Source organism: Homo sapiens, chromosome 3 (genome assembly GCF_000001405.40).
Source record: "Homo sapiens chromosome 3, GRCh38.p14 Primary Assembly".
Lineage (NCBI taxonomy): Eukaryota > Metazoa > Chordata > Mammalia > Primates > Hominidae > Homo > Homo sapiens.
Window position 1 is genome coordinate 181,305,129 of NC_000003.12, and position 22,325 is coordinate 181,327,453.

Here is a 22,325-nt window from a genome sequence, read left to right on the forward strand (position 1 = left end):
GAACTTCAGCTGCATTTATGTTTCCAAATAACATATCCCTTTAACTTTGCTTGTCCTTCCTATAGATCTTGTACAAAGCATTCATCATGTTGTTAGCCAGTCCCTAGCAGCCGCAGATCACAATTGGGTACTTAATAAGGTGGCAACCCTACTGGGAACATTTCACGTAATTATTCTTAGCAGAAAGAAGATTGTTATGGCTTTTTTTTTTCCTTTTTGAGTCTGGCAAAATTCCAGGTGATTTAGTTTGTGCTCCTAAAAACCTGTTATATATCATCGGTGAATTATACTTCATGTGTATGCTGCATCCTCACGTCCCTGCCATGTATATTGCAGGCCAGCAGACAGTTTCACTGTACAGTTGGTCTCCTCTACCAGCCAGCCCCAGAACCAGTTCCAGAACCAGTCAGTGATGCAAACTGCTTTTTGGCCGTAGGTTTCGGAGTGTGTCAGTCTGAGCATGCAAGTTCTTTTTGAAATCAGCCTCTCTCAAGACCACTGCACTCTCTCTGATGGTGTATTATGATTATCACTAAATGCACATGAGAAACTCACACATGAAGTAGTGAATAACTTATCCAGAGAGCTCTGTGATTTTAAGTACCACTTAAGGGAAAGAGAGTTTAGACCCTTGGCCCTAACTTTGAGCTTCTAAGTTGAGAAATAACTGGCATTTAGTTAACCAGATCATTAAAGCAGTTTAGACTTCAAGTTCTAACAATTTAAAGCTATACCTTGATTCTCCTGGACCTTAAAGATTATGCATTTCATTCACCATGACTGAATAAGTTTGTCTAAATATTTCAAACAATTTGGAAATAATTATTTTAAAAAACAGTGGGCAAATAAGCATGATACCTTATATTATGGTGCTACTGGATTGTAAGTTTAATTCTCCCAGCTGCATGGCCAACTAATGTCTCCTCTCACATGTGAAGACAAACACCTTTACATGTAAGAAAAGAGTTTCCTAGATGGTTCTTCTTAACAGGAAAAATGGAGCACAGTATATACATAATCTTTCTTTGATTTAGACCTACGAATAGAACATACAAGGGTTGTGAAGGACCTCTTCAAGGAGAACTACAAACCACTGCTCAAGGAAATAAGAGAGGACACAGATAAATGAAAAAACATTCCATGCTCATGGATAGGAAGAAGCAATATCATGAAAATGGCCATACTGCCCAAAGTAATTTATAGATTCAATGCTATCCCTGTCAAGCTACCATTGACTTTCTTCACAGAATTAGAAAAAAACTACTTTAAATTTCATATGGAATCAAAAAAGAGCCCTTATAGCCAAGACAATCCTAAGCAAAAAGAACAAAGCTGGAGGCATCACACTACCTGACTTCCAACTATACTACAAGGCTACAGTAACGAAAACAGCATGGTACTAGTACCAAAACAGTTATATAGACCAATGGAACAGAACAGAGGCCTCAGAAATAATGCCACACATCTTCAACCATCTGATCTTTGACAAACCTGACAAAAACAAGCAATGGGGGAAGGATTCCCTATTTAATAAATGGTGTTGGGAAAACCAGCTAGCCATATGGAGAAAACTGAAACTGGACTCCTTCCTTACACCTTATACAAAAATTAACTTAAGATGGATTAAAGATTCATACATAAGACCTAAAACCATAAAAACCCTAAAAGAAAACCTAGGCAATACCATTCAGGACATAGGCGTGGGCAAAGACCTCATGACTAAAACACCAAAAGCAATGGCAATAAAAGCCAAAGTTGACAAATGAGATCTAATTAAACTAAAGAGCATCTGCACAGCAAAAGACACTATCATCAGAGTGAACAGGCAACCTACAGAATGGGAGAAAAATTTTGCAATCTATTCATCTGACAAAGGGCTAATATCCAGAATCTACAAGGAACTTAAACAAATTTACAAGAAAAAACAACCCCATCAAAAAGTGAGCAAAAGATAAGAACAGACACTTCTCAAAAGAAGACATTTATGCAGTCAACAAACGTATGAAAAAAAAGCATATCATAACTGGTCATTAGAGAAATGCAAATCAAAGACCACAATGAGATACCATCTCATGCCAGTTAGAATGGCAATCATTAAGAAGTCAGGAAACAACAGATGCTGAAGAGGATGTGGAGAAATAGGAATGAAGCTGTTTTACACTTTTGGTGGGAATGTAAATTACTTCAACCGTTGAGGAAGACAGTGTGGTGATTCCTCAAGGATCTAGAACTAGAAATACCATTTGACCTGGCAATCCCATTACTGGGTATACATCCAAAGGATTATAAATCATTCTACTATAAAGACACATGCACACGTATGTTTATTGCAGCACTATTCACAATAGCAAAGACTTGGAACCAACCCAAATGCCCATCAATGTTAGACTGGATAAAGAAAATGTGGCACACATACACCATGGAATACTATGCAGCCCTAAAAAAGAATGAGTTCATATCCTTTGCATGGACACGGATGAAGCTGGAAACCATCATTCTCTGCAAACTAACACAGGAACAGAAAACCAAATACCACATGTTCTCTGTCATCATTGGGAGTTGAACAATGAGAACATATGGGCACAGGGAGGGGAACATCACACACTGGGGCCTGTTGGGGAGTGGGGGGCAAGAGGAGGGATAGCATTAGGAGAAATATCTAATTTGGATGACGCGTTTATGGGTGCAGCAAACCACCATGGCACATGTATACCGATGTAACAAACCTGCACGTTCTGCACATGTATTCCAGAACTTAAAGTATAATTAAAAAAAAAAGAAAAGAAAGATTATGGCTAATTTTTTATTTAATTTTGAAATTTCCCTTTCCAGTTCATTTTCCTTTTTGGGGAAGGGCAGAGGTGTTATCTATAATTTTTATTGCCCACATTGCTGCTGAGAAGTGGCATTAAGGCCCTTTTAGAGAGGTAGTGTAGCTTGTGAAAAGAGTGAGTTTGCAGTAGAAATAGCTAAGTAGGGGCTCCAACTAACTACCTGCCTCTGAGGTTTTGAACCCTGATGCCTAGGGAGATGGTGGTGCCATTAACAAAAATAAATAAGGAAGGAGAATGAGCTAGGGAGAGGCATATGAAGCTTTTGAGTTTCTGGTCAAAGCCAGGCAGAAATGCCCAGCAGGCAATTGGAAATGAAGGTATGGAGTTTAGGAGAGAGGTCAAAGTTTATAATACTGATTTGGAGACCTAAAAAAGAATTGAAAGTTAGGAGAAAGAATAGTCTAATGCTGTGACTATTAGTAAGTCCAGAGAGAAGAAACTTTCAGGGAGAGAGTAGTCAGTTGCCTTTGATGATCCAGGGAGATCAAGGACAATAAGAATCTAGAAACAAGGCCATTGGGTTTGATCATTTATAGCTCATTAGTCGGCTGAAAAGTCTGATCTGCTTGAGTTTAAGTCCCAATTATCCAATTACTAAAGGACATGTGTATCCTTGAGAAAGTTACTTAATTTATCTGGGCCTAAGTTGAACCATTTATAATTTAAGAATACCTCAGTGTACCCCTTAAATTTGTTTTGAGGATTAAATGAGATAGTCCATGTAAAATGCCTAGATTACTAGGTACCTGTGGAACAGTAGGGGCCATAACCAGATAACTGGGATCAAGACATGATGAGGGACTAGGAAATAGAAGATTATAAACCACTATTTGGAAGTAGGGAGGTGAGTGGTTGAACAATTTGTGGAGGAACCAGAGATCTGAGCAGCTTAAAGTCTAAAATACATAAAGCACCAGGGACATATTCTGTACCCTTTATATAAAGTAACTCGTTTTGCTTCTTACAACAACCCTGAGGGGTGGTAATATCATTAGAACAAAACTGAGGGGTAAAGAAGTAACCTCCTTCAAGATACATAGCCAATAAATGGCTGGGCAGTACCTAGCACCAAGGAATGTCTAACTCATAAGTCTCCTATCTGTTTCATAGATCAGTACACATAGAAAGATTAAACTAATTAATTAAGGGACAGAGCCATGATCTGAATCCATGTCTATCCAGTTCTTAGTTATCTACTTAATAGATAATCCTCCTTTCCAATTCCTGACTATAAAAGCATGGAGAGGAGTTTACAAGGATCAGAAATTTGGGGTCCACTGGCTTCAGGTGGCTCTACTTAGTCACCAGTGACCTCTGTAGTTGGACCATGTTGGAAGAACTTAATGTAGTCTGTCAGACCTAGGATGTCAGAGTCTGGGAGACATGTGTATTCTTCCTGAATAAAACCTGTGAAATGGGCCCTAATAAGATCCTACAAACTTGGGTGTTGTAGAGTGAGGATGAGGGAGGATGAATGAGAATGAGCCTTCAGGCTATGGGGGAGACATCAGAATGTAGTTGTTAAATCTGTGCTGAGGCTGCCACCTGGGGAATAAAATAATAAAAACTGACCCAGATCCAGCACAAATGTGCCTTCTGTGTTTATGCCTTTCCAGAATTTAGCAAAATAAACTTGTCTCTGCTTTAAATTGAGTATCTCTGAACTATCCTGGAGACTGATTACTGCAGAGCAGTGGCTCTTGGAGTATCTTCTCTGGACCAGCAGCATCAGCATCACCTGGGAAGTTGTTAGAAACGTAGACTGTCTGCCCCACCCCAGACCTGCTAACTCAAACTCTAGGGGTAGGACCTGCCAGTCTGTGTTTTAATAACACCTGCAGGTGAGATTCTCATGCATGCTGCAGTTTGAGAACCACTGTCTGAATCTAATTTGCTTCCAAGTTCTTCTGGTGACTAACTAATGCCAAGTGGCCAGATAGATCTGGTTGTGGTATAGAACTGTGGTTCCCAGTCTCAACTGCCATCAGAATCAAATTAAAAGATTTAGTTCACTGAAAACTGGCTGCCACTCCCAGAAATTCTTATTTAATTGAGCTGGGGTGTGGCCTAAGCATTGAGATTTCTGAAACTCATCCCCCCATGCCCTCTCCCCACCCCCCCAGTGATTTTAACACACTCTGGTCTAAAACAGTGTTTCCCAAACTTTAGTAAAAATCAGAATCTCACGTGGAGAGCCAGTTAAAAGGCAAATTGGGCCGGGCACGGTGGCTCACGCCTGTAATCCCAGCACTTTGGGAGGCCAAGGTGGGTGGATCATGAGGTCAGGAGATCAAGACCATCCTGGCTAACATGGTGAAACCCTGTCTCTACTAAAAATTCAAAAAATTAGCCCAGCGGTGTGGCGGGTGCCTGTAATCCCAGCTACTCGGGAGGCTGAGGAGGAGAATGGTGTGAACCCTGGAGGTGGAGCTTGTAGTGAGCCGAGATCGCGGCACTGCACTCCAGCCTGGGCGACAGAGCAAGACTCTGCCTCAAAAAGAAAAAAAAAAAAAGGCTAATTGTTGGGTCCCACCCTCAGGGTTTCTAATTCAGTAGGTTTGAGGTGAGGCCCAAGAATTTGTATTTCCAGTAAGTTTCCAAGTGATACTGATGCTGCTAGCTTGGGGATCACACTATGAGAATTGCTGGTGTGGAAGTTAAATATTCATTTTTGGAGGTATGGAGCTGATAATTTCCATCGCAAAGCTCCCATTTCTGCTGCCAGGCCTAGGTGAGGGTCTTTGCCAGAGAGTCCTGGCGATGCCTCCATTTATGTATCTCATTGGCAAGAGAGACTTGGTCTGGAAATACATGTGGCTGTGCAGTGCTTCTCAAACATTAATTAGTGTACAGATCACCCAGAGATCTTGCTAATGTAGGTTCTAATTCAGTGGGTCTGGGGCTGAGCCTGGGGGTCCACATTTCTCACAAGCTCCCTGACAATGCTGATGCTGCCAGTTCATGGACCATGCTGGGTAGCAAGGCACATAAGAAAGTGTTTCTTAAATTTTTCTGATGATCTCATCTACCTGAAGTGCTTTTACTAGAGATTTTTGGCTTCCCCTGTGACCTACTGAATCATAATGCCCAGGGAAAACAGCCTTACATATATGTATCTGTAAGTGACTTATTAATTTATTCAACAAATATTGATTAAACATCTACTTTGTGCAGGTTCCATGCTAGATGTGAACAAAGTAGATAAGGAGTCCTTTATCTTATGGGGCTTACATTTTAGTTGGAGAAGCAAACAATAACTTATAATAGCGACAATCACCTCAAGGTCCACGAAGCACGGCCAAGTGTCTGAGTTCTGGGGTGAAGCAGCATTGCACAGGGTGTTCAAGAAAGCGTTTCCAAAGAGGAACCACCCCAGCTGCAGCTTGTTTATGTGAAGGTCTTGGGTAAGGAGAAGCAAGGGCTCTGAGGATGGACTAAGCTTGGCCGATTGCCTGCAGTTAGGGGTGGGGAGAGGATCAAAGGTAGGAAGATTGAGTGCCCAGCTGATTTTGATATTTCGTCACATTTGGAGAACACTTCAAAACTCTTTCTTACCAGCTGTCAGAGAATTGAGTCCTGCCCATTTTGAAAACATCATCAATCACCCCATCATTGGTCCCTAGAGGAAGAATGTAGAAGCTGTTATACAGTCCCCTAATGGCTGATAAAAAGAAATTGTCTCTGCAATTCATAGGGATAAAATTACAATGATTTCTTGCTAATTATTTAACTATGCAGTAGTGATCTTGTACACAGTCAGAAAGTAACAAAAGTATGAAAGAATTCTACTTAGAGAATGTTTCTACAACTTTGAGGTTTGTATAGCATAATAAATACTTTTTGGAGGGTTTGTATGATTTTCCAGAAAGCCCAAATGCATGAATAAAAGGAGCAAGAAAAACAACAAAGAGCCAAGAAAAAAATAAAAAACAAAAAACAAAGCAAAACAAAAAAAGAGGAAGGAATACACGGGGTTTCCTGAGGGAGCAAGTAAGCTCAAGTGTTTTTAGCGTTAAGTTACAAATTTGTTTTATGACTGCTATTTACATAGATAATAATTTTGAGAGCTTACTTTTTTATATATGCTGCATTTAAAACTACCTAAATGGCAGAAGAAAAATAAATAAGAACTCTTTGGGCAGAGGCAGCTTTCACCTGTATTATTTTTTTTCAAGCTGTGTGCACTCCTTAATTACCAGTTTAAAAAAAAAAAAAACACTTAAGATTGGTAACATATGTTGTTGTCAGCATGTGTTTAGCACCTGCAGAAATGAACATGAAAAATGTGACAGCGCATAGGTGGAACACCCACTGCATTGACTGTGAACACTGTCAACAAATTTTACTTTGTTAGTTTTTTCTTATTAAAAAAATCTAAGAAAAAAATTTAATAGCACAGGTGTTCGGAGCATCACAGCAAGACGATATAATGAAGGAGAGGCTATAAACCTTTAGCATGAGAGCCGAGGTCTAGATCTGCACATCTTTAAGCTTTGCCTCTCACACACTTCACTCTTCTTTTCTTTTCTTTTTTTTAAAAAGCCCCTCTGCATGTTGGAATTGGCAGGCTTGTTTGTCCTGCAAAGCATTTCCTCTCAGAAGTAACGGTGAGAAGCAGCTCAGGTTCACTCAGTGGAGATCAGCTGACAGGCAGGACCAGGCAAACAGCACCTAAAATAACCATTTTCCAAGGTTGGAGATGGAGGTGTTTATCTTGCACATTATTTTCTAGTAATGAAGTCCTAATCATTGTGGGTAAGAGGTTTTCTGTCAGCTTCTTCTACAGCAAAGCTTCTATGAATATAGGCTCTGTCTTCTGAACTCTTATTTTGGGGTACAGGAAATTTCGTTTGGCTAATGGCATTCCTCAAAATGCAGCGCTATGCAGAGAGCAGGCCTTACTGAATGATGCTGCAGTTGCTATGCCTTCTCTGGTGTTACTGGTTTGTTCTACTGTAGAATGAGAATGTTGCAAGTTGCTTTCCATAATTTCCTATCATTGATTGTTTCATTTCTTAATTCTTAGAACCAATTTCACTCAAAAGGAGTGGGTTATGTATGCTCTTCATTTGCAGAGACATTTCTCCCCAAAATGACTTTGCCAAAGTTCAAAATAAACACTGGCAGGTGTGTTAATTCCTACTTTGGAAACTTTGAAGTCAACTTGTTTCCACAAAATCTTCCCCATTTTCACACCTCTTACACTCGTTGTGAGGTCTAATTACTGCTAATCTTCATTCTGGCAGGCTGTAAAAAGAAATTCAGTGACAAAGTATTCCAGTGACCCAAAGTATTCCTGTGGCACAAAATAGAAAATTTTAAGTTAAGTTTAAGCTCAGCCAGGTCTGTATTTCCTCTCCGACCCAGGGAAAAGGCTCTTGATTGAGTTATGGCTCTCTGGCTGCGTGGTGTGGGAACTGTTTGCACTTCTCATGGCTGAGAGAAGACCCTGGAAATGACACGTTTTACACCTCTTAGATGAGACTGGGGAACTAGAAAGCACTTCACTCCCGTCCCTCTGGGACGAAGAATCTGTTTGCAGTAATCACTGGCAGTGTTGACAGAATGTTCAAAACCATCTGCTCAAGGGCAAGTGTTAACTCTATCAAATCCTAATATTTTAAGCACACTGATCCCTAAGCCCAGGAGACCTCCTGATGGAGCTCTCCTTGGGCTCTGTGTCAGCCTGCCATCAGTTATTATCCCGCTGCAGAAAGGCCTGATGCACCAGCCAGAACTCAGTGAGGAGAGGCTGTTAGAATGAGAAATGCAGCAACAGAACGCACTTCATTCAAGTCTTGTTAGTTATGATGAATCTGAGGCTTTCTGATTCTTTAATACAAGAGTTTCTTTGGAATAATAACTGCACTTTTTGTCTTTAAATGTATTGTGTTAAATGAGCATCTTGATTTGTTAGAATCCAGCGTATACCACTTTCAGCATAGATTTGTATAAATTCATGTAGACTTACTGTGCGCACACAATTAGATACAAGTATGCTTCCAGCCAGGCATATATCATCATGTTAAAATCCTTTACTAATATTACTTAATAAAACATAAAATTCAGCGGAAAGATTTTTGGTACATTATTCTCCCAATAATCACCAGTCATCAAGTTGTTTAAACAGGTCAGAATATTTATTTACTTTTAATATACTTAATATACTTTGCTAGCACAATTGCTCCAAAATATTTCAGAATTAAAACTGATAGAGGAATTGGGGGGAGCATATAGCAGTAAAAATATTCCAAAGTCCAGTGAACCAAAAACACTCCCTTCTCAAAGGAAGCCAGTCAAAATTTTCTAGGACAGGTTTGAGCCTTTTGCTGCAGGAAGGACACCACTGGAAAAAAAAAAATGCACAGGCCTGAGCCATCTGTGAAAATATCTCCCTACTTCTCCATCCTTGTCAGAGACATTTCAGTAAAACCGACATTATCTGTCATAGTGACTTGGGGTGGTTAAAGGAAATACTGAGAAGAAACCTAGCACTAAGAGAAACTTCTTAGCCACAATCCCCTAAAAGTTCAAATATGATATTTTAATTTTTAATTTTCTGTTTCTATTTCTGTGTATGTATGAATTTCATCTTATGCCACTTATTAGGCCAGGCTATTGTAGGTGCTCAATAAATTACATGTTAAGAAAATGGAAATAGGCTTTGCTCTACTATGGTTTTAATGTTATCTGAATTTATGTCCCAGATATGCAGAAGAGTAATTAGCAGAGTTCTGGGATTGTAGTCACCACCAGCAAATACAATGCCATCCTCACATAACAGTCGCTGGGTGTCTGCTAGCATGTGCCAGGCACTTTTAACATATTTTTTCATTACCTAATTACATCAGATACATTAAGCAAATCTTATCATAAGCCCCATTTCAGAGATGAAGAAACTGAGGCTTAGAGAGCCAAATAGCTTGGCTAAAGTCAAACAGTTAATAAGTGGTGGAGCCCAGACAGGAACCTAGGCAGAAGACTCCAGACTTCATGTGCTCAACATAATGCTGAAGCACTGCTAAAACAGAACTATTTAATTTTTTTTTTTTTTTTTTTTTTTTTTTGAGACGGAGTCTTCTTCTGTCGCCCAGGCTGGAGTGCAGTGCCGCGATCTCGGCTCACTGCAAGCTCCGCCTCCCGGGTTCACGCCATTCTCCTGCCTCAGCCTCCCGAGTAGCTGGGACTACAAGAGCCCGACACCAAGCCCGGCTAATTTTTTGTATTTTTAGTAGAGACGGGGCTTCACCATATTAGCCAGGATGGTCTCCATCTCCTGAACTCCTGATCCGCCCCGCTCAGCCTCCCAAAGTGTTGGGATTACAGGCGTGAACCACCGCGCCCGGCCACTATTTAAATTTTACAGAACTCTAGGAGGCCAAAGAACACAGAGAGGACTGCACATTTTCTTTCAGAGTCTCATCAAATGCCATTTATTCATTTATTGGTCAGACATTTATTGAGGGTCAAGCACTGTGCTACCCGGAGGAGATAACGGGGATTGACCTTATAGCTTAGAGCAGTGAAAAATCTGGGGAAGTTATAAAACACCATTGCAGAAAAATGCACAAAGGCACAACATTTGCAATTTTGTTTTGAGGGAAGGGGCTGTGAGCTACAGGTTTAGAACTTCTGGGAGAGGTTCCGTGTATTAAAACAAGGCAAAACCTATGTAGACATTTAATAAAAATTCTGGGGTAGTACAAGGGCAGGATTTAGTAACTGCTTGGAGAAGTCAGGAAAATGAATTTTGGAGTGCTGTGCAGTGAACAGACTAAAATCTACCTACAAAGTCCCATCTCACCTAAAAACCTAATAGATTTACATTTTAATCATTCTGTCTAAAAATGACCATCAAGACTTCTCATCTGACAGTTTCTGATCCTGATTTCCGTGAGAGGATGTAATATTTCTATGATTTTATATTTATCTCTGCTATCCAGAAAACATTGTGTGTTGCTCTCAGCATTCCATATTTTATTGTAGTTCTCATTGTAACTGTGTTTCTGTGTCTTTCTGTGTGTATATGCGGGGGAAGAGAGAGAGAGAGAGAAACTTAGTGAATACTTAAGCACACAAATTTACTAATAACTAGGAGCCTGGTTAATAGAAGCACTTAGATCTTCTGGACCTCTTGGATCAGTTTCTTAAAATCTCTGAGCTTTAGTTTCTTCATCTAGACAAGAATACCTATTTCTTAGAGTTATTATAAATATTAAGATAATGTTTTTTAAAAGTGCCAATGTTTTTTATCAGGCACATTTTAAAGGCTTAATGAATATTAATTCCTTCTCTGGTGTCCTCCCCTCATCTTCTTCTTTTTTTTTTTTAATATGCTATTTGTAAAAGGGAACAATGTTGGTAACCTTGGTCCACAGGGAAGAAAAGGGAAAGTAATGGCCTATTCGTATAAAACTCATTGGGGAATGGTTCCCTGAAAATTAACTTGTATTTCTGTTTGGATATGTGCCTTTTATGTTAGCATTACTTGAGATGAGGCTACCAAAAATTTCTGTAATTAAAATAAATAAACTGGCATAATAGTTTGCTACTTAATGATGTCTAAAAAGATGATTTTACTTTGTGCCTATATCTTGAAGGCCAGCTTTTTTTTCCATCTCCTGAAATATGTAAAGAGTTCTGCAGCAGAGTCCTGTCCTTCAATATGATACTGTTTATTTCTTCAGATAGTTACGTGATGATGAAAATGAGGCACTGTCCTAGGTGCTGAAGGGACTGTCAGGCATTAGAAGAGCTATAGATTCAAGATAAGACTAGGTAATGGTGAGTGATGATTTTTAAATGCACATGTATGTACAGGCAATAATTGTTCTAAAGAATATCCTGTACCTCTGACAATGAAATTTAAATGATATACACTCCTTAAAATCCCACCTTTAAAATTAAGGAAGATAATTAAAATAAACCATGTATTAATTGCCTGTACACTATAGAGGCCCATATTAATGCAAAATGCTATCATTATCTTAATTTCCAGGATGATCGTCAGGGATATAATGAGGCTATCTATAAGGTGTGAGTGTTTTTGTTCTCTGCTTATTTGTAACATTAATAATAAAGAAGTTTAATATGTTCTGTAAACAGTGGCTTCCAAAAATACAGAGCTTTCAGCTTTTTCCAGATGGCTGGTTTTTGTTGAAAGGCTTTCTGAGGAGTGTTAATTTGTTATTCAACCCTTATTCACTCAGTGTGTTCTCATCTCACTATCTGTCAGAAATTCTCTTCTTTCAAGAATTCTGACTCTTGGTCATTTGGATGTAGCATTCACCTGTGTGGGATAGGAGAGAAGAAAGTGAGTCCCTGATGCTTATAGAGAAGAAGAATGCTGAGCATTCCCTGACATATTTCCTGGTCAATGCCTAATATAGATGAATGACTTTACCTTTTGGGAAATGGGAATACAATAGGAGACTTGCCCCAGGGTTATGTATCTAGGGTGGGCCTTGATCACAGAGGCCAGGATGTCCAAAAAGGGCAAATGGAAGATTGAAATGTGTGTTCAATTTTTCTGCAGGCTGTAATGGAAAAGGGGGAATGACAGTCCCCCTTGGGAATAAGTGTCTTCCTCATTCTGTGCAGACATTTAGGGAGTATTGCAAGCTGTGAGCTTCTCTGAGCACATCTTGTCTCTTGCTTTCTCCTTGCTGAGCCCCTTTCCTCTGTTGCTCCGTCCTTCCAGCTGCTTCTGTGAACTCTCCTCTGCCGTGTCTCATCCCCCATGGCTGCTCAAATGTGATTCCTCTAAGCCTCTCTTCCTGTCCAGCTGCATCTGTTCACCTCCCCTGCTGATCGATCTACTTCTTTAGCTCAGGGACAGCAAGAGGAAATGATTCCAGCAGCTAAACAGCTTTTATGCAGAGAGAATATTTAAATATTCTCAGTTTGCCTGATTCCCCTTCACCTCATGCTATGATCAGAGGTTAATGGAGACAGTTTGGAGCTTCTCTCTGTTGGTAGAAACCAGAAGACTTTTAGAAACGAAGGCCAAGGTCTTGCAACATCCCACCCACCCACCCCCCAAAAAACCCTATAAATTTATTAGGAGGGTAGAAATATTTTTTTTCATCAAACTCATTATTTTTAAAATAGTGGTCCGATGTTCCAGTTCTCCCTCTCACCCCCACCCACCCTCCCCACCACAAAAAAAATAAAAACTCTGGACAAGACTGCAGCCGAATTAGAAGCTGTAATTAATTTTCATCATTTTTAGTAGATGAAATCTTAAAATGACTGTTGTATTCTAAGTGTTTGTATCACTGAAAATTATCTTTTGATATATAAAGTGTATTTTTACAGTGCTATTTAGTGAATATCTGATTTTTTTAAGATAGTTTATTTGGGCAAATTTAAACTGTGAGTCTTGGTACAAAATAATCTGCCAAGGCAGAGCAGTTGTGAAGATTAAATGTAGCAAAAGCCTAGCATAGTGCTTGACCCATCATGCCCAGTACACACACACACACACACACATAAACACACACACATACACACACACACACACACAGACAGACATACACACATACACACACATACAGACACACACATACACACAAACACACACACAGACACATACAGACACACAGACACACACATACAGACACACAGACACACACACATACAGACACACAGACACACACACACACACATATATATATGAGTATATATCCTCCATGCATTGGTCCAATATATGTATTTCTTTTAATTAATTATATATTGTCTCTGCATGTTGCTATGCCAGTTTACTTATCTATTTCCTTATTCTTGGACATTTATCTTATTTCAATTTTTCTTTCTTTACCTCCCTTCTCTTCCCTTCCTTGCTGTCTTCCTTCCTTCCTCTCAATTTTTTAATTTGAAAATTTGTTTCTTACTTTTCTTCCTTTCTTGTGTCCTTCTGTCTTTTCTTCCTTTATTTTTATTTTCCTTTTCTCATTACCTTCAGGTGTATTGAGAACACCTTGTATACATTTTTCTTTTTCTTTGGCTGTAGTCTTCTGTTGTGGTATAATTTTACCAAATAAAATTCCTAGGTCAGGGGTCTGAATAATGCCTGTCTGTATTATTTTCTCCAATGTTGGCCCATATTTTCATAGTAAATGTACATGCTATATATGCCAGGTTCCCCATGGTCCTACCAACATTGAGTTTTCTTATTTTTGTGTATTCAGTAAATTTTAATGGTATTTTTAAAGGTCTTTTGATCAGTTAGTAGGGCTATAATTTTTCTATTTGTTAATTTTATATTTAGAGTTTTTGTATGTAAACTGTCTATCTTCTTTTTTTATTATTGTACTTTAAGTTCTGGGATACATGTGCAGAACATGCAGGTTTGTTACATAGGTATACATGTGCCATGGTGGTTTGCTGCATCCATCAACCCATAATCTACATTTAGTATTTCTCCTAATGCTGTCCCTTCCCTTGCCTCCCACTCCTGACAGGCCACAGTGTATAATATTCCCCTCCCTGTCAGCATATGTTCTCCTTGTTCAACTCCCACTGATTGAGAACATGATGTGGTATTTGGTTTTCTGTTCCTATGTTAGTTTACAGAGAATGATGGTTTCCAGCTTCATCCATGTCCCTGCAAAGGATATGAACTCATTCTTTTTTAGGGCTGCATAGTATTCCATGGTGTATGTGTGCCACATTTTCTTTATCCAGTCTAACATTGATAGGCATTGGGGTTGGTTCCAAGTCTTTGCTATTGTGAATAGTGCTGCAGTAAACATACGTGTGCATGTGTCTTTATAGTAGAATGATTTATAATCCTTTGGATGTATACCCAGTAATGGGATTGCCAGGTCAAATGGTATTTCTAGTTCTAGATCCTTGAGGAATAGCCACACTGTCTTCCACAACAGTTGAACTAATTTACGCTCCCACCAACGGTGTAAAAGCCTTCCTATTTCTCCACATCCTCTTCAGCATCTGTTGTTTCCTGACTTTTTAACAATTGCCATTCTAACTGGCGTGAGATGGTATCTCATTGTGGTTTTGATTTGCATTTCTCTAATGACCAGTGATGAGCTTTTTTTCATATGTTTGTTGGCCGCATAAATGTTTTCTCTTGAGAAGTGTCTGTTCATATCCTTCACCCACTTTTTTGATGGGGTTGTTTCTTTTTTTCTTGTAAATTTGTTTAAGTTCTTTGTAGATTCTGGATATTAGCCCTTTGTCAGATGGATAGATTGCAAAAGTTTTCCCCCATTCTGTAGGTTGCCTGTTCACTCTGATGATAGTTTCTTTTGCTGTGCAGAAGCTTTTTAGTTTAATTAGATTCCATTTGTCAATTTTGGCTTTTGTTGCCATTGCTTTTGGTGTTTTAGTTATGAAGTCTTTACCCACGCCTATGTCCTGAATGGTATTGCCTAGGTTTTCTTCTAGGGTTTTTATGTTTTTAGGTCTTACATTTAAATCTTTGATCCATCTTGGGTTAATTTTTGTATAAGGTGTAAGGAAGGGGTCCAGTTTCAGTTTACTGCACATGGCTAGCCAGTTTTCCCAACACCATTTATTAAATAGGAAATCCTTTCCCCATTGCTTGTTTTTGTCAGGTTTGTCAAAGATCAGATGGTTGTAAATGTGTGGCGTTATTTCTGAGGCCTCTGTTCTTTTCCATTGGTCTATATATCTGCTTTTGTACCAGTACCATGCTGTTTTGGTTACTGTAGCCTTGTAGTTTGAAGTCAGGTAGCGTAATGCCTCCAGCTTTGCTCTTTTTGCTTAGGATTGTCTTGGCTATATGGGCTCTTTTTTGTTCCATATGAAATTTAAAGTAGTTTTTTTTCTAATTCTGTGAAGAAAGTCAATGGTAGTTTGATGGGAATAGCATTGGATCTATAAATTACTTTGGGCAGTATGGCCATTTTCATGATAATTATTCTTCCTGTCCGTGAGCATGGAATGTTTTTTCATCTGTGTCCTCTCTTATTTCCTTGAGCAGTGGTTTGTAGTTCTCCCTGAAGAGGTCCTTCACTTCCCTTGTAAGTTGTATTCCTAGGTATTTTATTCTCTTAGTAGCAATTGTGAATGGGAGTTCACTCATGATTTGGCTCTCTGTTTGTCTATTATTGGTGTATAAGAGTGTTTCTGATTTTTGCACATTGATTTTGTATCCTGAGACTTGCTGAAGTTGCTTATCAGCTTAAGGTGATTTTGGGCTGAGATGATTGGTTTTCTAAATATACAATCATGTCATCTGCAAACAGAGACCATTTGACTTCCTCTCTTCCTATTTGAATACCCTTTGTTTCTTTCTCTTGCCTGATTCCCCTGGCCAGAACTTCCAATACTATGTTGAATAGGAGTGGAGAGAGAGAGCATCCTTGTCTTGTGTTGGTTTTCAAAGGGAATGCTTCCAGCTTTTGCCCATTCAGTATGATATTGGCTGTGGGTTTGTCATAAAAAGCTCTTATTATTTTGAGATACATTCCATCAATACCTAGTTTATTGAGAGTTTTTAGCATGAAGGGGCACTGAATTTTATTGAAGGCCTTTTCTGTATCTATTGAGATAATCATGTGTTTTTTGTCATTGGTTCTGTTTATGTGATGGATTACGTTTATTGATTTGCATATGTTGAACCAGCCTTGCATTCCCTGGATGAAGCCAACATGATAGTGGTGGATAAGCTTTTTGATGTGCTCCTGGGTTCGGTTTGCCAGTATTTTATTAAGGATTTTCGCATCTATGTTCATCAGGGATATTGGCCTGAAATTTTCTTTTTTTCTTGTGTCTCTGCCAGGTTTTGGTATCAGGATGATGGTGGCCTCATAAAATGAGTGAGGGAAAGTCTCTCCTTTTCTATTGTTTGGAATGGTTTCAGAAGGAATGGTACCAGCTACTCCTTGTACCTCTGGTAGAATTCAACTGTGAATTCGTCTGGTCCTGCTCTTTTTTTTTTTTTGTGGTAGGCTATTAATTACTGCCTCAATTTAAGAACTTGTTATTGTTCTATTCAGGGATTTGACTTCTTCCTGGTTTAGTCTTGGTAGGGTGTTTGCATGCAGGAATTTATCCATTTCTTCTAGATTTTCTAGTTTATTTGTGTAGAGGTGTTTATAGTATTCTCTGATGGTAGTTTGCATTTCTGCAGGATCAGTAGTGATATCCCCTTTATCATTTTTTATTGTGTCTATTTGATTCCTCTCTCTTTTCTTCTTTATTAGTCTGGCTAGTGGTCTATTTTGTAAATCTTTTCAGAAAAACAGCTCCTGGATTTATTGATTTTTTGGAGGGTTTCTCATGTCTCTATCTCCTTTATTTCTGCTGTGATCTTAGTTATTTCTTGTCTTCTGCTAGCTTTTGAATTTGTTTGCTCTTGCTTATCTAGTTATTTTAATTGTGATGTTAGGGTGTCAATTTTAGATCTTTTCCACTTTCTTCTGTGGGCATTGAGTGCTATAAATTTCCCTCTTAACACTGCTTTAGCTGTGTCCTGGAGATTCTGGTACATTGTGTCTCTGTTCTCATTGCTTTCAAAGAACTTCTTTATTTCTGCCTTAACTTCGTTATTTACCCAGTAGTCATTCAGGAGCAGGTTGTCCAGTTTCTATGTAGTTGTGCAGTTTTGAGTGAGTTTCTTAATCCTGATTTCTAATTTGATTGCACTGTGGTGTGAGAGACTGTTTGTTATGATTTCTGTTCTTTTCATTTGTGGAGGAGTGTTTTAATTTCAATTATGTGGTCAATTTTAGAATAAATGTGATGTGGTGCTGAGAAAAATGTATATTCTGTTGATTTGGGGTGAAAAGTTCTGTAGATGTCTATTAGGTCCGCTTATTTCGGAGCTGAGTTCAAGTACTGAATATCCTTGTTAATTTTCTGTCTCAGTGATCTGTCTAACATTGACAGTGGTGTGTTAAATTCTCCCACTAGTATTGTATGGGAGTCTAAGTCTCTTTGTAGGTCTATAAGAACTTGCTTTATGAATCTGGGTGCTCCTATATTGGGTGCATATATATTTAGGATAGTTAGCTCTTCTTGTTGTGTTGATCCCTTTACCATTATGTAATGCCCTTCTTTGTCCTTTTTCTTCTTTGTTGCTTTAAAGTCTGTTTTTATCAGAGACTAGGATTGCAACCCCTGCTTTTTTTTGCTTTCCATTTGCTTGGTAAAGTTTCTTCCATCCCTTTATTTTGAGGCTATGTGTGTCTTTGCACGTGAGATACAGCACACCAATGGGTCTTGAGTCTTTATCCAACTTGCCAGTCTGTGTCTTTTAATTGGGGCATTTAGCTCATTTAGATTTAAGGTTAATATTGTTATATGTGAATTTGATCTTGTCATTATGATGCTAGCTGGTTATTTTGCCTGTTAATTGACACAGTTTCTTCATCGTGTCGATGGTCTTTACAATTTGGTATCTTTTTGCAGTGGCTAGTATTGGTTTTTCCTTTCCATATTTAGTTCTACCTTCAGGAACTCTTGTAAGGCAGGCCTCGTGGTGACAAAATCTCTCAGCATTTCCTTGTCTGTAAAGGATTTTATTTCTCCTTTGCTTATGAAGCTTAGTTTGGCTGGATATGAAATTCTGGGTTGAAAATTCATTTCTTTAAGAATGTTGAATATTGGCCCCCACTCTCTTCTGGCTTGTAGGATTTCTGCAGAGAGATCTGCTGTTAGTCTGATGAGCTTCCCTTTGTGGGTAACCCAGCCTTTCTCTCTGGCCGCCCTTAGCATTTTTTCCTTCATTTCAACCTTGGTGAATCTGACAATTATGTGTCTCGGGGTTGCTTTTCTCGAGGAGTATCTTGGTGGTGTTCTCTGTATTTCCTGAATTTGAATGTTGGCCTGCCTTGCTAGATTGGGGAAGTTCTCCTGGATAATATCCTGAAGAGTGTTTTCCAATTTGGTTTCATTCTCCCCTTCACTTTCAGGTATATCAATCAAACATAGTGTTGGTCTTTTCACATAGTCCCATATTTCTTGGGGGCTTTGTTCATCCTTTTCATTCTTTTTTCTCTAATCTTGTCTTCACACTTTATCTCATTAAGTTGATCTTCAGTCTCTGATATCCTTCCTTCTGCTTGATCGATTCAGCTATAGATAACTTGTGTATGCCTCATGAAGTTCTTGTGCTGGTTTTTCAGCTCCAACAGGTCATTTATATTCTTCTCTAAACTGTTTATTCTAGTTAGCAATTCATCTAACATTTTTCCAAGGTTCTTAGCTTATTTGCATTAGCGTAGAACATGCTCCTTTAGCTTGGAGGAGTTTGTTATTATCCACCTTCTGAAGCCTACTTCTGTGAATTCATCAAACTCATTGTCCATCCAGTTTTGTTCCCTTGCTGGCGAGGAATTGTGATCCTTTGAAGGAGTAGAGGGGTTCTGGTTTTTGGAATTTGCAGCCTTTTTGCACTGCTTTTTCCTCATCTTCGTGGATTTATCTACCTTTGGTCTTTGATGTTGGTGACCTTCGGATGGGGTTTCTTTGTGGACGTCCTTTTTGTTGATGTTGATGGTATTCCTTTCTGTTTGTTAGTTTTCCTTCTAACAGTCAGGCCCCTCTTCTGCAGGTCTGCTGGAGTTTGCTGGAGGTCCACTCCAGACCCATTTGCCTAGGTATCGCTAGCGGAGGCTGCAGAACAGCAAAGATTGCTGCCTGTTCCTTCCTCTGGAAGCTTCTCCCCAGAAGGGCACCTGCCAGAGGCCAGCTGGAGCTCTCCTGTATGAGGTGTCTGTCGACCTCTGCTGGAAGGTGTCTCCCAGTCAGGAGGCATGGGTGTGAGGAACCCGCTTGAGGAGGCAGTCTGTCCCTTAGCAGAGTTTGAGCGCTGTGCTGGGAGATCCACTGCTCTTTTCAGAGCCTGCAGACAGGAATGTTTAAGTCTGCTGAAGCTGCACCCACAGCCACCCCTTCCCCTGGTGCTCTGTCCCAGGGAGATGGGAGTTTTATATATAAGCCCCTGACTGGTGCTGCTGCCTTTCTTTCAGAGATACCATGCCCAGAGAGAAGGAATCTAGAGAGGCAGTCTGGCTACAGTGGTTTTGCTGAGCTGCAGTGTGCTCCATCCAGTTCAAACTTCCTGGGGGCTTTGTTTACACTGTGAGGGGAAAACCTCCTACTCAAGCCTCAGTAATGGTAGGACGCCCCTCCCCCAACCAAGCTCAAGAAACTCAGGTGGACTTCAGACTGCTGTGCTGACAACTAGAAATTCAAGCTAGTGGATCTTAGCTTGCTGGGCTCCGTGGGGGTGGGATCTGCTGAGCCAGACCACTTGGTTCCCTGGCTTCAGCCCCCTTTCCAGGGGAGTGAATGGTTCTTTCACTGGCATTCCTGATGCCACTGGGGTATGAAAAAACACTCCTGCAGCTAGCTCAGTGTCTGCCCAAATGGCTGCCCAGCTTTGTGCTTGAAATCTAGGGCCCTGCTGGTGTAGGCACCTGAGGGAGTCTCCTGGTCTGCAGGTTGCAGACTGTGGGAAAAGCGTAGTATCTGGGCCCTGATCTGCCTATCATCTTCTATCCAGCAAAATCTGGATGATGATATAATATATTCCTTTCAACATATTACATATTTTGAATAGTAATGAACCATTAAATATTAATTTAGTGACTATTTTGTGCTAGGTATTATTCTAGAAATAATAGGAAAGTAAGGATACAATGACTGATAGCATAGTCCCTGGCTTCAAGGAGGTTTGAGAAATTTGTCTGGTAAAAGGTGACAGGTATATAAACAAAGTGCATTACAGTGTAATAGGTATTGTGATGAAAATATGTATAGAGTTCAGTGCAGCCACATGGGAAGTGGAATAATTAATCAAGCTAGAGTGTAATAAAAGCTTTTATTATTGAGGATCATAGAGGAAACGTTTACCCTTTAAATTTGTCACTTATTTTCTTTCTGATTCTCTTGGACCTGTGTGTCTTTTGATTGTTCACCAAAGCAACTTCATTCCTTTCATTTTATTATAACACCATGGGCATCTATGACTCAATGGTATATAACAAAATATGTGTGTGCAATACTGCCTCAAAGTACATATTACTATGATGTGCTTTATAGGACTCAAGGTGAAAATAGAATATCATTAATGCTGAAGAAGACATAATGATCTGTGCTTTATTTGTTATTTTGTGTTTCCAATTAGTGATTATGCACAGTCTCAAGTTTGAGGTTGATCCTCTCATGCCCAGCCACTACAACTCTTATACACCTCTGTCAGAGTGCATGGAATGATCTCATGGGAGAGCATCTTGGGGAGCATTATGAACTCTGAAATGTCCTCTTCCCTTGCTCCTGAAGATTCATCAAACTATATGAACCCTGATCTTGCTGATATCAAGGTCTTAGGCTCTTTCTAAATGATAGTAATACAGAAAGTTCCTGGGTTATGGGAAACACAGTTTATCTAGTTTTATCTTCTGCTAGGTTTAACAGTTAATTTTGAGGGTGGGCCTATCATAGGTATTCAAGAACTACTTCAATGCTTGGTTGGTTGGATTTAGCACTTTTTGACAACAGCCAGTATGAAAATGTTCAATTTTTTTTCCCTCCTTTAAAAACCTAGCTTCTCTTCCCATCTTTCTACTTCTCTTTCTTCCATGCTTTCTTTGCTTAAATGTGATTATCTTAGTCTATGAGCTTGAGGGCAGGGATGCTCTTCTATTCATCTTTAACCAATGTGTTTAGCACCAGTATTGGCACATGGTAGGCCCTCAACATATGCTTACTGTATGAATGACGCATGTCCTTCTTGTCTTTGGGATTACCCTAGTTGCTACTCTTAATGCAGTAATAGTAAGACATCTTTATGCCCCCAGAGTCCCAACTCCTGACCCCACTTCATGTGAGAGAATTGCTTTGACTCCAGGTGTTTGTATATCCACTAGAGGGCACTGTTTTGTCAGAGGCTGTTCTAAACTTTTCTTCAATATCAGGATAGACACCTTAACTTCATGGGCCACTCTCAGCTTCAAGTTCTTAATATTTCTGTTAATGAATAATTCTTTGAGTTTTCCATCACAACTATTCTTGCCAATATATAATCACAATAAGAAGTCATAATTAAAAACAATCGTAATAATGTTAGATACAAGCTAATACTTATTAATGGATATGGCAAATACATATTTAATAACCAAACGTGGTAAATAAGAACACTCATATATGTTAAGGGAATTCTTTTATGTTTCTTGTTTCCAGATTTTCTTCTGACCAAAAGTAGAAGGGCAAGTAAAGTAGCCATTAAATCTCAAACTTCATTTTTTGTACTTTCACAATAAAAGCATTTGTAAGGAGACTAGGGAAATTCCAAGCTAAACACATTATATCCAAATTTGAAAGGTAGCTTCAGTAGAAATTTGTTTTAAATGAGAAAGGCAGTATTGAGTGTGATATTTTCTAAAGCTATAAAAACTACATTTTATGAAAAGTTTCTTCTCCCTCCATTACTTCTATTTCCACAGAACTATCTTTAGGCAGAATCAAATGAGTTCCTGGGCTTTAACGTCAAACAGT

General features: G+C 39.2%; 1 long non-coding RNA gene across 3 annotated transcripts in view, besides 1 other annotated feature; it reads left to right on the forward strand.

The window, feature by feature from the left end:
• SOX2-OT (SOX2 overlapping transcript) overlaps positions 1-22,325 on the forward strand; it is a 685,549-nt gene that overhangs the window by 248,449 nt on the left and 414,775 nt on the right. The gene's annotated exons all lie outside the window — the stretch shown is intronic.
• Positions 11,373-11,667: a silencer, noted in NCBI's record as "tiled region #15084; HepG2 Repressive non-DNase unmatched - State 24:Quies, and K562 Repressive non-DNase unmatched - State 24:Quies". NCBI's record gives its function as "represses a minimal TATA promoter and a strong SV40 promoter by Sharpr-MPRA in HepG2 cells, with weak repression in K562 cells {active_cell/tissue: HepG2 | K562}" and the evidence as "EXISTENCE:reporter gene assay evidence [ECO:0000049][PMID:27701403]".